Raw genomic sequence first — 14011 nt, 5'->3', positions numbered from 1 at the left:
TCGGGCTGCCTTCCTACCTTGACCAGTCGGTCCTTGCGGGGGTCCCCAACTGCACCCCCTCCCTTCCCGTGCCGGCAATTTAACCGGGAGAAACACACCTCTGAATGGAAAGCTGAGAAACAGTGATCTCCATTCTGACTCATTTTTTTTAATTAAAAAAGAAATTAAATTGCTGGAAATATTAGTCCCCTCTGCCTGGGACAAGACCACCGAAGGTTCCTAATTGGTTTTGTTGGGGGTGTAGACGTCCCTTCACCTTTAGAATTTGCCCTGGGACTGAATTCGTGAGCGTGAGGGGGCTGGCAGGAGCCGGCATAATTCAGAACAATTATCAATTAAACAAACGAGTGTACTGATCTGATTTTTAGCAAAATCGATAGGTGTTCGTGGTTACATGAGAGGGTCCCCAATATTATCGCAAACTTAAGCAGATGTAAATTAAAATACACAGTTTTTAAAATTACAGGTTCTGTCTCTTTGGTGCATTAAAAAATAAAAGGACATTTTACTGTCTTAACTTTTGTTTTTATTTTTACAGTACCTGCCCCAAATTAAGAAAACTGTTCATTTACTTCCTTTTGAATATAGTTCAGTGTCATCAAACCACCGTACCCTCTTAACAGTAAAAGCTCAAAGAAAACTGATAGAAAAAGCCCTCTCCCCTTCGCCAGGGTGCTCACAGCAAGATGCGACCCCCCCCACCCCCACCTTTCAGGGTGAATTCCTCCCGCGCCCCCTCCCCCGCCGGGAATTAGGATTACTAATATTCCGGGTCCTGGGGGGGTAATTACCCCCGGATTCCGCATGGGGAGCGATGGGTTGCCCCAGCAGGGAGCACCTACGGTCGTGCCCCCCCCCACTCCCCGAGCACCCACAATCGCGTTGGCCCCCGCATAGCCAAGCCTCAGAGCATCAGCCCGCGCACAAGGGCGGCCCAGCTGCTTTTTCATTCATAAAATCCCGACCCGGCGGCCGCCTGGATGATTTATGGGGCCCGGAGCTATCACCCGGCCTCTCCCATCCCGTGGGGCGAGGGGCCCCGAGCCCCGCGTGCGCCCTGGCCCAGCCCGAGGCGCGAAGCGGGCCGAAGTCGGCTAGGGGCAGCAGGGCATAAAGAGGCTCGCCCACTCCGGCACAACCGGCTCTGGGTCCAGGAGGGAGCTTCACCCCCCCATCCCGGGCGCAAGACAGAGGAAACTGGAATTAGCATGAGCCAATGGGGGCGCGGCGCTGTTACTAGGCGGACCGGGCAGATCTCGACTAGGAACTTCGTTGATTTCCCGGCTCAGGGACGAGCGCAAAATTGCAAGCCCGGTTAGCGAGCGTAAAGAGCCGTCCAGGAACCCGCGGGGGAGGCGCTGGAATTTGGGGCCCGGCGCTGGAATTTGGGGCCCGGCGGGGAGCGCCAGCTGCCCAGCCCCCACCTGGGGGAACCCTGCTTGGCGGCCCCCGGGTCCCCCGAGGGGGCCAATACCTCTGGGCTTTTGAGGGTCATTGCTTCAAGAAGCGCAGAGAAAGCATTTTGATTTTATTTTTTCCAAAGAGAAAAGCAACTTTAAAAAACTTTTCGGTTGCAGTTTTACTTTACACTGTCTTCTTAAAACCCACCACGAAGCAGGAACTGCGGATTCTGGGCTCATTTAAAGTGCTCTGTTCTTATTTCTTGGTGACCATTTGGAGACAAAGGGCAAGTGGCCCAGTCGGGAGGGTAACCACGTTGTTTGAAAGAAAATCCAAAATTAACTGAAATCACCTTCACGCTTTCCTCGCCCCCTGGCCCCCGCCCCGGTGACCGCGGCCTGGGCGGATGGTCGGTCAGGAGAAAGCGAATTCCGCTGCAGGCGCGTGTTCGCCACCGTCCCTGGCTGTGGGAACCTTCATTCAGGCGGGGGAAGGGAGCGCGTTCATTCAGGAACCGGCGCGCCGCGACGCAGACCCCGGGACTCAGCGCGGCTGCGCGCCGCGGGGCTCGGGGCTTGGGTTGGGGGCGGGTGGTGCAGGGACCAGTCCCGACCTTTCGCCAGCGACCTCCCGCACCCGCTTTTCCACCAGGGCGGCTGGCGGGCGGGCGCACCCAGGTGGGGTCACCTGCAGCCGCATACCTGGCGGCGACTTGAAAGGACTTGGCTCAGGCTCCGCGAGTTTTCCATTGTTAAGCCCTTAAGTCGCCCGGGAAAACGCTTCCGAAAGCCGGCCCCTGGGCTCCGAAGGCGCTCGAGCTCCCCTTCCCCCCACACTGCTTGCTTTTGGGGTGCGCGTGGCGGCCCACGTGCTATGGCAGCTCTGCTTCGCTTACGTAGCGCCGATCCCAGGCGCCCCAAAACTGCGAGGTGGGCCGGGGCGAACTCCGGCCCCAGTGCCCACCCGAGACAGCCACACGCTCGGCACATGGACAGCCGCACCGCCCCCCCCATCGCCCCAACCGCAGACGTGCGTTTCCGCTCCAGATCAATTAGTTTCAGCCACACACAGACCACCCTGCCACCGCCCCTCCCGTGCCCCAGTCGTCTGTCCGGCGGGCTGCGGGGAAACGAGACCCCTCCCCTAGCTCCGAGGGCTGCCGGCAAGGTGTGCGCTGGAGTTAAAACGCAAACCCAACAGGTAGGGGGGCGGCCCTGGCTCCAACGACGCATCTGGGATCCCGAGGCTGAAGGCGCAACTCTTGAGGGTTAAAGGCGATTCTAATTCCTCGACTCCCGCCCCTCAAAACGCATCGGCTGGTACCCTGAGCAATATGAACCCCCAAATCCACCAGAGATTCCCTGGCCTTCCGGCCCCAGCCCCTCTCAGACCAAGTGGTGGGGAGTAGGCGCCCAGATCGAGAAGAAAACCACTTCCGACCACAGGAGAGAAAGCTGGCTGGGGGTGACCTCGGAGGTCACGTTCGGCCCTCTCCCCCGCAGTCAGGCCTGGCCGCGGCCCACCCGAGGCTGAGCAGACCCCCGCGTCGGACGGAGACGCAGGGCTTCGCTGCGGGACTCGCGGGGCCTAGGAAACCTGCGGCGGCGGCTCGCGGGAGCCGGTTTTCCGGCGGAGGATCCGCGCTGAGGCCCTCGTGGGCTCCCACGGCATGCCCCACTCCGGAACTTGCCGCGCCCTCCCCCGCCCTTTCCGGAAGACTGCGGGGAGGACCCCGCATCCCCGCGCCTCTCCAGCTCGCTCCTCAATGCCCTTGGAACGCTTGAAAGCGCTTCCATCCCTCGCTTTGGCACTTGGGGGTGGGTGGAGGGACAGCGGGGTCGTTATTACGGGGCGCCTTAGAGTTCTGGTTATCCGGACACTCAACAAGCAGGGGAGGGGAGGGAAAGGGAGTTTTTTTCCAGGTGCGGGGAAACGGGTTGCGTACCTAATGCCCCGCGCCCTTCCCCTGGGGTCCCTGGAGCCCGTGCCTTAAGGGCTGGGGGCAGGACTCGGATTCGGACCCCTTAGGGAATTCTGGGTCCTCAGGGTCTGAGGGACTGATGGGCCGCGCTCGGTCCCCAAGCCCCTTCTGTGTGTTCACGCGGGGCACGACTTGCCCAGCGAGTTCTGGGCGGCAGGGCCAGGGCCGGGGTGCGGCTGGGAGAGGTGAGGGGAGGAGGCGAGAGCGCGCGCCGCCGGACCCTGGGCCGTGGCTCGGGAACCGCGCGAGGCCGCGCCGCGCATTCCGCGCATTCCCGCCGGGCCTCGGTTCCACCGCCACGTGGTTGCCCTGCGTCCGCGTTTACCGTAAGGCTTAGAAAAAGCGCGCATTACGGTTCCGGAGCGCATGCGGACCTCCCAGGACGCTTAACTCGAGCACCAGTCCAGCTGTGGTGCCGAACATACTCCTTCCCTGCGGGTAGATAGGGGCTGCTTTTTTACGTAATAAGGCGGGTTGTACTGCTGGAGCGATAGCATGTTCATCTGTAAAGACGGGCAGGAAGGAGTGTGCTCGGCCCTACTGGAATCCGTAATAAGGCGACTGTCCGGCTGAAGAAAGTGACAGAACCGGGCCGTGACCATTCCACCTTCTCAGCGGTGGTAAAGCACCAAATAGCAGCTGCAGCCTTCCGATGGCGTCCAGTGCACTGTGGCTGGAAAGCTCGGAGCAAGAAGGTGCTTAACAAATAGGAAAACGTCCAGAAACTGCCTATAGCTACATTTTATTTTTTTTTTCTTGAGGGTCACTTTAAGATAAAGAATCTAGTGCATCCCTGGACCCTGAGGCCGACCTTAACCAACAGGATGCCTGCCTGGGCTCATGAGGTTCAGGGCATGATTGGGGCCCCCTGAGACACAGGCTAGGTTGTGTTGCCTCCCCAGGCTTGGATAAGTCAGAGGAATCCTTAGGCCCCTCCTGGACCATCTCGCTGAATCCTGACTTAGAGAGCTGTCTCTGCTATCCTATGGGAGAGAGACAGGTTATGTGCCCTAGGGTGGAGGGGGCTGCATTGGTCCCCATGCTTCTAGACACACTTCTAGCCCTGAGCAGCACCAGTTCACCCAGTCTAAGGGAAGCATGGCCATTTGCTTTGAGGTCCATCTCCTGTAGGGTTTGGAGAAAAAGCCTTCACTCACCACCCATCCTCATCTTCTCACTTCTATGAGGTGTTTCCTCCAGCCAACTTATAGTTTCACACACTTAATCTCAGGGAAATGCGTTTAATGGTAAGGAAACCGAGGCACAGAGAAACCAGGTGCCTTGTTCAGGTTCACAACATTGGCAACGGTGATGGTCTGTAGCCATTTCATGGACACTGTCAGAATAAATCCAGCTTGCTTAGAAGCTGGTAAAGATAAAAATCTACTTTTTCAAGAATTCATGCAAAGCCAAACCACTTTTTTTTCCCTCAAAATTTCAGGCAGGTGGCAGCCACATTTATGAAACTGAACAAGAATGTCACATACAGACCTACATCTGCCACTAGTTGTGTGGCCTTGGACAAATCTCTGTCCCCATCTGTAAAACGGGCTGTGATCGTTTTCTTCGCAAGGCCACGGTGAGGAGTAATTAAGGTAATATGTAGAAAGCATTTAGCACAGGGCCTGGTGAGTGTCAAGGCCTGCTCGATTTATTCATTCATGTATTTGTTCTTATGCAGGATGAAGGCCATGTGCCACACGCAGTATGTGGAATTAATTACACATTTCAGTTTATATGCAGAAAGAGGATTTTACAAATGACTTTATAATCTGTCAGCTTGCTTCTCTATGCTGACTTCTCCTGAGCTGTTTGTGGACATGAGATTTAAATCACGGAACAAACTTTTACATGAAAAAAAAAAAATAACCCCATGAATCCTTCCTTCTTTCTTCTCCCCTAACTCTTCTTTCTCTTACTCTGCAAAAGGAGTAGAAATGTTGATTTTAAAAAGAAGCACTTTAATTAAGGGCACAAGTGTCAATGCCAGGATGAGAGGCAGAGCCATAGGGAGGGTTTCTGCTGGCCCCAGAGGGTCGGTAGCCCAGGGCTCTGCCCTGTCTCTGGATGGACTGGCCAGGTTCCTGGCACCCATTGTGTAATAGGAGCCATTCTGCTCAAGCGGGAGGGGGCAGTCACAAGGGACGCTGGCCAAAGGTGTGGGTCAGTGAGTGTCACTGCTGGAAACAAAAAGACACGACTGTCAAGAAGCTGCCAAGGCCATGTGAGCTCAGGGCCTCGACACGGCCTGCCAGGCCAGCCTCTGCTCTTAGTATCTTGCTATAGGGAAGGGAGAGGGGGCTCCTGGGACCGCCAGCCTGGAAAGCATTCCTTGGGCCCCCAGGCTCTGAGCATTGGTTCTCTGCTGGCCCTCCGGGCTGCGGGTTGGTATACTTCCAGGCAAAGGCAAAGGAAGCCTGAGGCCTTCCCTTAGCTGCCTTGTCCTGGGCACATATATCGTTTACTCCCTCCCTTTTGAGTTATTGAAAAAAAAATCTCTGGAATCCCTTTTGTAGCATCCCAAGAGGGGAATTATAGCTGCAAGAAGGGAGCCACTGAAGGTTATTGAGGGCCAGGGGCGTGGGGCCGGAGCAGCTTGCTGGGAAGGTGAACCTGGGCTTCTCCAAAGGGAGACAGATCCTGGAGCTCCCTTGCCCCCCCAGGCCTCTGCCTTTTAGTTGTCATCTGATGAAGCCAAGCTTGGAATCCACCCACCCATGAATTCCCATGCGAGCTCCAAGGTGCTAGACAGAGGCTGTTTGGAAAGAAGAGATGAGAGATAACGACAGTAACTGGGGAGATGCAATGTAGGGGAGTCACGGGAGGAGGCAGCGAGTCACACTTCCAGGAGTAAGGGGTGGGCAGGGGAGAAACAGGGAGGAGATGGGAAAGTTAGGAGCCTCCACAGGGAAGCAGCCCTTCTCCCTAGACCCTGGCTGCTCCCTAGACCCCGGCTATTCTCTGGGCAAAGATACTGGTGAGCCCTGCTGGCGGTGATGGCGTGGCCCCCCGAGACGCTTACTGTGCTCTCCACCTGCCCTGCATCTTCACAGAGGGCATCTAATTCAATCTTCATGGCAGCTCCAAGGAGAGGCCCTTTATCCCCATTTTACAGATGAGGAAACCGAAGCCCAACACATCATTCAGCTGTGGTAGAGCTGAGATGCCTTCTCACTCTGACTCCAGAATGCAAGGAGAAAAACGGTAAACTCCAAAGCACCTAGAAATGGTAGGGTTCACCTTTTTATTTTTTTGAAACCACTTTATTGAAAAATAACTTACATACCGTAAAGTTCACTCGTTTAGAGTATATAGTTCGATGGATTTTGTTATGTTGGACAGCCACCATCACCATCTGAGAACATTTTCATCATCCGCCAAAGAAACCCTGTACCCATTTGTAGTTATTCACCCTTTTCTTCCCCCTTTTCCCCAGCCCCTGGCAACCACTAATCTTTCTCTGTGGATCTGCCTTTTCTGGACATTTCCAACAGATGGAATCATATGCTATGCAGCCTCTTGCATCTGGCTTTTTCCACTTAGCATCACGTTTTCAAGGCCCACATGTGGCATGTGTCCATGGTTCATTCCTCTTTATGGTTGAATACTATCAATCGTATTGATAGACCACATTTTGCTTATCCATTCATCAGTCAATGGGCCTTAGGATGGTTTCTACCTTTGGTTACTGTGGACAATGCTGCCGATGAACACAGAGGTACAAGTTTATGTGTGGATGCTGTTTTCATTTCTCTTTCACAAGGCTTATCATTTTTTTCCCCCTAGATACAGGGTCTTGCTCTGTTGCCCATGCTGGAGTGCAGTGGCACGATCATACCTTACTGTAGCCTTGACCTCCTGGTCTCAAGCAATCCTCCTGCCTTCGCCTCCCAAGTAGCTGGGACTATAGGCACTTGTCACGTCACCCAGCTAATTTTTTAATTTTTGTAAACATGGGGTCTCACTATGTTGCCCAGGCTGGTCTCAAACTCCTGGGCTCAAGTAATCCTCTGGCCTTGGCCTCCCAAAGTGCTGGGATTATAGGCATGAGCCACCACACCTGGCCTTAATTCTTCTTCTTATTATTATTAACCTATTTCCCCTTTGAGGAATAAAGTTTCTGTACTTTAAAAAAATAGAATTTTCCCACTTTTTGTCTATTATGAATAACACTGCTAAGATTTTATGTAAAATTTATTTTTGAAATAAACTTGACAGCATGATGTTATAAGATACATATACATAGTAAAATGGTTACCATAGTGAATTAGTGTAACATACCTGTCATCTCACATAGTTACTTTTTTTTGTGAACAGAGCAGCTAAAATCTGCTCACTTAACACAAATCTCTTGTTTCTGGACTTTCTATCCCGTTCCACTGGTCTCTTTTTCAGTCCTTACCCCAGAAGCATCATGGAAGCTATACGCTACGAATTCTTGATATCTGGCGGGCTAAATCCTCCAACCCACTTCTCTTTTATGGTTGCCCTGGCTACTCCTGGCCCTTGGGGCTCCATAAACATTTCAGAATCAACTTACACATGTGCACACACACAATGCTGGAATTTTGATTGGGATTGTATTGGATCTATAGATCAATTTTGAGGGAATTGACACTTTTACTAACAGAGTCATTCAATTCATGGGCATGATATAGACCTCTGTTTATTTAGATTGTCCTTAATTTAATTGCAGGTGTGTGTGTGTGAGTGTGTGTGTGTGTGTTGGGTGTTGTGCATCTTTTATTAGATTTCTTCTTAAGTACTTGATATTTTGATGTCATTATAAATAGTATTATTTATACATTTCATCTTTTTGGATCAAGATTTTGAATTGGGAGCTGGTGGTGGGAAGAATCAGAAAAGGTAGGAAATGTTTTCTAGTGTAGAACTGGGTGAGGCATTCAAGTTTATGAGCAGCAGTATCTGTGCTGCCCATCATAGAGCTGTGGGCTCTGGTGACAAGGTGGTGTGGGCCGCTGCAGTTTTACTGGAGGGTCTGGTGTTGGGATAGGTAGGGGTAGCCCTGGCTTCTCATCAGAGAAGATCTGCAGCATGCTTCCATTGTGATTCGTGCTGTCTTGCCTCCCTTGTTCCTGCCTATCTTCTGCATCTGATTTTCCTTTTCTGCTGAAATCTGCCAGCATTGGTTTCTGTTGCTTGGAACCAAACACTAGGATGAGGAGGACACCAAGACTGATCACTTTTGCAAGTTGCATAGAGACCCGTTACATCATTGACAATTATCCTATTTGCAAGAGATACCCTAGAGACAATCTCATGTTCAAGAAGAGGGGAATGGCAAATTAGGGTGTGTTCACTGGATGGAAAAACATTAAATGAAAAAAAGCAAGATACAAAAGATAAAACCAGCATAAATTCAGCAAAATAAATACATAGCTGGTTTGAAGGACATATAGCAAAAGAGTAGGAGCTGAGACTTGGGATGATTGGAGTGATTTTTCCCTTTTTTTTTTTTTTTTTTTTTTTTTTTTTTGTTGAGACAGAGGCTTGCTCTGTCTCCCAGGCTGGAGTGCAGTGGCGCGGTCTCAGCTCACTGCAAACTCCACCTCCTGGGTTCAAACGATTCTCCTGCCTCAGCCTCCCAAGTAGTTGGGATTAGAGGCATGCGCCACCATGCCCAGCTATTTTTCTTTTCTTTCTTTTTTTTCTTTTTTTTTTTTGTATTTTTAGTAGAGACGGGTTTCACCATGTTGGCCAGGCTGGTCTCGAACTCCTGACCTCAGGTGATCTGCCCGCCTCGGCCTCCCAAAGTGCTGGGATTACAGGCATGAACCACCACACCTGGCCAATTTTTTCCTTTTCTATACTCTGTTATGTACTTTCACATACTGTATTCTATTATGAACAAATACTACCTTTATAGTAGAGAAAAGAATCCAACCAGAAACAACTTCAAAAGACACCCAGGTATTTTCCAGGTCCCAGGCTCCCTGGCTCAGGGAACACCTGAGCCAAATCCCATGTGTTTTATTGGGCAGTAGCTACATGAGATTCTCTCCGTCATGGAGGGAGGAGCCCCTTGCCCAGCCCCCAGTTACCAGGCTCAGGAGGATCCTAAATTCCCCATGACCTCCTTTCCAGCAGGCAGTGGAATGGGAGGCTGGTGTTTCAGGTAGAGTTTAATTGGTCTGGTCCCAGGGCAGATGCTGCACGTAAATACAAAGGCAGGCCTTCGTGTCACTGGATGATGACAACTTAGGAGCACAGGAGGCCTGGATTCTGCCTCCTAAGATGCAGGGCATGGGCCGAAAGCAGGAGGAAATGGAAAGAGAAATGACAGTTATAGCATCAACATACAATGCTTTCGGCACAGGGCCGGTGGGGTGGCTGCTGAGTAAGAAGCAGTAAGGCAGCCGTGTTTTCCTTAGCATGAACTTTGACCACGCTACCTCTAAGAATTCATGAGGTCCTTGGGAGACGTGTGTGTCTGATCCAGCAGCAGCCTGCTGTCTACTAGGGCAAATCAGGACACTTTGAAGGCTGCTAGACCTCCAGAGTCTCCCTCAATTCCTCCCAGGAGCATTGTATTCACAGGTGGGAAAAGGCAGTGCTGCGGGATAGGGTTCTGGGTGGCAGGCATTGCTCAGTGCCCTTTGATATCTTTAATACTCTCCTTCTTCCATAGCAATAGAGTTTTTAACTGGGCACCTACTACTCAGCTAAAGACTACATTTCCCAGCATCCCTTGCAGCAGGGGATGGCCATGTGACTAAGTCCTAGCCAGTTGGCTGTGAGAGCAACTGCTGATTGAAACTCCTGGGTTGGGGCATTAAAAGGCAGGGGCATGCTATCCCCTTCTCCTTTTCCTCTTCCTGATGAGGCGCAAACATGGCAGTGACTTTTCTTGAATGATGTGGATGAGGAATGTCACATTGATGAGGGCCCTTTACTCAATTATAGAGTAGTGCCACCATACCAAGTTTTGTACATGAGAGGAAAAAATACATTATGCCTTATTTCAGCCACTTTGTATTCATGATATTGGCAGTGGGAGTGGTTTCCTTGAAGACAGGCAGAGATTGGAAGGGCAAGAGGCTTGAAGGGGGCAGTGCTCTAGATGAGAGGAAGAGACTTGGAATTGCCCACGCTGGGTCTTAGGGCACAGGGACAGGGATGAGGGGGCCCTGTGCAGGGCTGAACTTCCTGTGGTGCTTCCCAGGAATGATGGGCAGTGACTCAAATTGTGGAACTTAACTTGTTCCCTTCCACACTATGATTCCCTTAGCTCTCTTAGCCCTCAGTGAGGCCTGTCCTCTGCCATGAAGATTAAGAAGCAAGAACAGTGATGCCACAGAGACACAGTCAATGGCAAAGTGGTAGTGGCCCTTAGTGGGGTCAGGATTTTCGGGGAGGAGCAGGAAGTCTGAGAGCAGAGCTGCCAGGGGAGAAATCAGCTTTGCTGGAAAGGGAAGGAAGTTGGAGAGGAGAATGGGTCACGGGTGGGGGGGTGCGGGGGGTTATTTTCTTTTCAACGGGAGAAATAGCAGCAGACTTGTTTGTTGAATGGGAACATTCCAGGAGAAAGGGAAAATGATGCAGGGGAGAGGCAAACATTGCAAAGCCCTTCAGGAGGCTGTGGGGCGGGGCCCGGTGCACAGGCAGAGAACTGGCTCTGGCTGGGAACATGAATGGTTTGTCTGCATTCATGGAAGAGACAGGAGAGTCAGTGGTCATAAATGCTGGGATGGGGGCTTCTGGGAGTGTGGGGCGTGTATGAGGACAAAGTACCCAGACAAGGAGAAAAGTCCCAGTTCTGAGGGATGAAGCGGGACCCAGGCTGAGCCACAGCAGTAGCAAGGGACAAAGGAGGTCCAACAAGGGCTAATGATGAAAGAGGAGACAGAAAAGCTGGAGAGTTTTTATTTTACACTTTTTTGCATTTTTCAGTGCTGATCATGAATTTTTTGTGTTTTTCAATGCTGATCATGAATTTTTTTTTAATAACAAAAAAGAACTATAAAATAAGCTCTGATTTTAAAAGTTGTGGCAGACGGTCTCTAGAATGGCACCCAGTAGTCCTGTCTCCTGACACTCGTGCCCTTGTGCAATCCCGTGCTCCTTGAGTGTGGGTGAGGCCTGTGACTTCCAAGGAAATGTGATGAGACATCCCTTCCAAGACCGGGTTCTGAAAAGGCTGTGCTGTCTGCCTTGCTGGCGGTCTTGGAGCCCTTGCCCTTGGAGAAGCCAGCTGCTATGTTGTGAGTTGTCCTCTGGGTTGTCCACATGGCCAGGAACTGCAGTCCCCAGCCCACAGCCAGCAAGGCCTTGCAGGCTGCTGACAGCCACGGGTGTGAGCCTGTAAGTCCACCCTTGAGATGGCTCCAGCCCCCCAAGAGCCCTTTATTGCAGCCTGTGAGAGACCCTGAGCCAGGGGACCAAGCTAAGCCCCACGCCGATTCCTGACCCACATCACCTAGGTGATAACAAATGGGCATTGTTTTAAACAACATTTTGGGGCAGCTTGTTACACAGCAATGAATAACTAATACAAAAGGAGAGGCATGTTTCCAGCTCCTGATTCAGTCCTTTCATTTCTAAGCAAGCATACAGGCCTGTCCTCCTCCTTGCCTCCCGGGTCTGCCGATGGATTACAGCCCAGCCAAGCAAGGCTGTGCGGTGATGACATGTGCGGCTCTGGGGCCAGACCCTGGGCTTCCAGTCTTAGCTCTGCTGCTTGCTGGCTGTGTGGTCTTAATTGAGTTGCTTTCTCCATGTGCCTTGTTTTACTTCCCTGTAAAATGGGGTGATAACAATGGGAGGACTTAACAAGTCAATTCCTGTAAAGTGCCCTGACCTAGGGCCTTCACATAGCTGGTGCTGAAGGTGTCAGCTGCTGTTACGCTCATCACACAGCTTGACGTCGGGCCTGTGAAGCTTGCTGTATGTCACCATTCCCTTTGCCCACCCGCCTGGCAGGCTACACTCAAGGACTTCTCTCACGATGCTACTCTGCACTCAGGCACCCTCAGTGGCTCCCCGGGGAATCCTGAAGGTGTTCTAAAATCACTACCTGGCGTTCCAAGACCCTCTTCACCCAAGTCAACTTTTCCCCACCCCCGGGGGCCTACCACACCTCTTTTCCAGCCCATGGGACTCAGCTGTTCTTGTAGTGGTGCCCCTGCCCCCAAGTGCACGGCACCTGGACCTTCAACACAAGACCCCACCGCGGTCCCACCTCGCCACATTGCAACCAGCTGCGCACAGCCGCCACCCACACCTGCCGACGTGTCTCAGGCACCATACGTGTTGCTCTACGGAAGAGTGACTTCCTCCAGAGTCTGTGACCACCCATTCCCTCCCACTGCCATCCTGGGCTCTCTAGGAGCTCAGGAGAGGGAGGGATCCCACGTGGCTTCTCTTTGGAGAAGGCGGGCTGGCTTGAGATTTGAAGCAGGCGTGGAGTGCCAGGAGGTAGGGGGTCTGTCTGCAAAGGCAGCTCGTGAGAAGTCATGAAAACACCGAGATCATGTACTTCCAGCTTCTCATGCTAAGATGCCCAACTCGAGCACCATGGCTGGATGGAGCCGGACTCCCAGGGAGCCTCAGCCCAGGCGGAGGCTCAGCAGGCAGCTCTCTGCTGCTTTCTGTATTTAGTCGTCGTTGTTTTCGCTGTTGTGGGCTTTTTTTTGTGTTTTGTTTTTTGTTTTGCCATAGAACCTTGACTGGCAATACACAAACCTCCTCAAAAGAACATGAAAAGGAAAATTAGAGGGAGACTGCTGAGGTACTTTGCACAATTGGAAAAATCAGCATTCTCCCTGTTGCAGAGTTCACCGGCACATCCACTCAACTCTGATTAAGGGGCCTTGGTGTTTGTGGGGGCGTTCGGCAAGAGGCCTCTGATTGGGAGACAATTTTGTGGCTTCAGCCTGTAACTTGGGTGCAAGGGATCAGGCACAGTTAATGTGATAACCTTGCAAACCTCTGCTTGTGACCGAAGTGCCTGGCCACCACGAGCCATCATTAAAGACATGCTGCAAACACTCCTGAGGCTGGGAAGGGCCAGGAAGGTGGCACTCTGGAAGGCAGTTGGGAAGAGCCCTTTTATGGCTGGTGTTGGGAGTTTGGAGATAAAAGTCACTGGTCATGTTTATCATCTAGTTCTTTTTTTTTTTTTCTGAGATGGAGTCTTGCTTTGTCACCCAGGCTGGAGTGCAATGGCGTGATCTTGGCTCACTGCAACTTCCACCTCCTGGGTTCAAGCGATTCTTCTGCCTCAGCCTCCCAAGTAGCTGAGATTATAGGCACCTGCCACCGCACCCAGCTGATTTTTGTGTTTTTAGTAGAGATAGGGTTTCACCAGGTTGGCCAGGCTGGTCTCGAACTCCTGACCTCAGGTGATCCACCTGCCTTGGCCTCCCAAAGTGCTGGGATTACAGGCATGAGCCACCGCACCCGGCTATCTTCTAGTTCTAAATGCACCCTGCTATTGAGTTTCATATTTGCTAGATATCAGTGTTTGATATTATCCATGCCCTAGACCAGGGGTGTCCCATTCTTTGGCTTCCCTGGGCCTCTTTGGAAGAAGAATTGTCTTGGGTCACATATAAAATGCACTAACATTAACATAGCTGATAAGCTAAAAAAATCCCCCCAAAATCTCAT

At 51.8% G+C, this 14011-nt stretch overlaps 4 annotated features.

Annotated features, from left to right (window-relative positions):
* Positions 427–1365: an enhancer, noted in NCBI's record as "H3K27ac hESC enhancer chr11:69453749-69454687 (GRCh37/hg19 assembly coordinates)". NCBI's record gives its function as "activates a minimal SCP1, AML or CMV promoter by ChIP-STARR-seq in primed H9 embryonic stem cells {active_cell/tissue: H9 hESC(primed)}" and the evidence as "EXISTENCE:reporter gene assay evidence [ECO:0000049][PMID:30033119]".
* Positions 1366–2306: an enhancer, noted in NCBI's record as "H3K27ac-H3K4me1 hESC enhancer chr11:69452808-69453748 (GRCh37/hg19 assembly coordinates)". NCBI's record gives its function as "activates a minimal SCP1, AML or CMV promoter by ChIP-STARR-seq in naive H9 embryonic stem cells {active_cell/tissue: H9 hESC(naive)}" and the evidence as "EXISTENCE:reporter gene assay evidence [ECO:0000049][PMID:30033119]".
* Positions 1366–2322: a biological region, named in NCBI's record as "H3K27ac-H3K4me1 hESC enhancer GRCh37_chr11:69452808-69453748".
* Positions 2119–2322: a silencer, noted in NCBI's record as "fragment chr11:69452792-69452995 (GRCh37/hg19 assembly coordinates)". NCBI's record gives its function as "represses an EF-1alpha promoter that drives an FKBP-Casp9 reporter gene in an ReSE screen in K562 erythroleukemia cells {active_cell/tissue: K562}" and the evidence as "EXISTENCE:reporter gene assay evidence [ECO:0000049][PMID:32094911]".

This window comes from Homo sapiens, chromosome 11, assembly GCF_000001405.40.
Source record: "Homo sapiens chromosome 11, GRCh38.p14 Primary Assembly".
Classification (NCBI taxonomy): domain Eukaryota; kingdom Metazoa; phylum Chordata; class Mammalia; order Primates; family Hominidae; genus Homo; species Homo sapiens.
The sequence above is the reverse complement of the archived record's forward strand: the minus strand, read 5'-3'. Positions and strand labels throughout refer to the sequence as shown.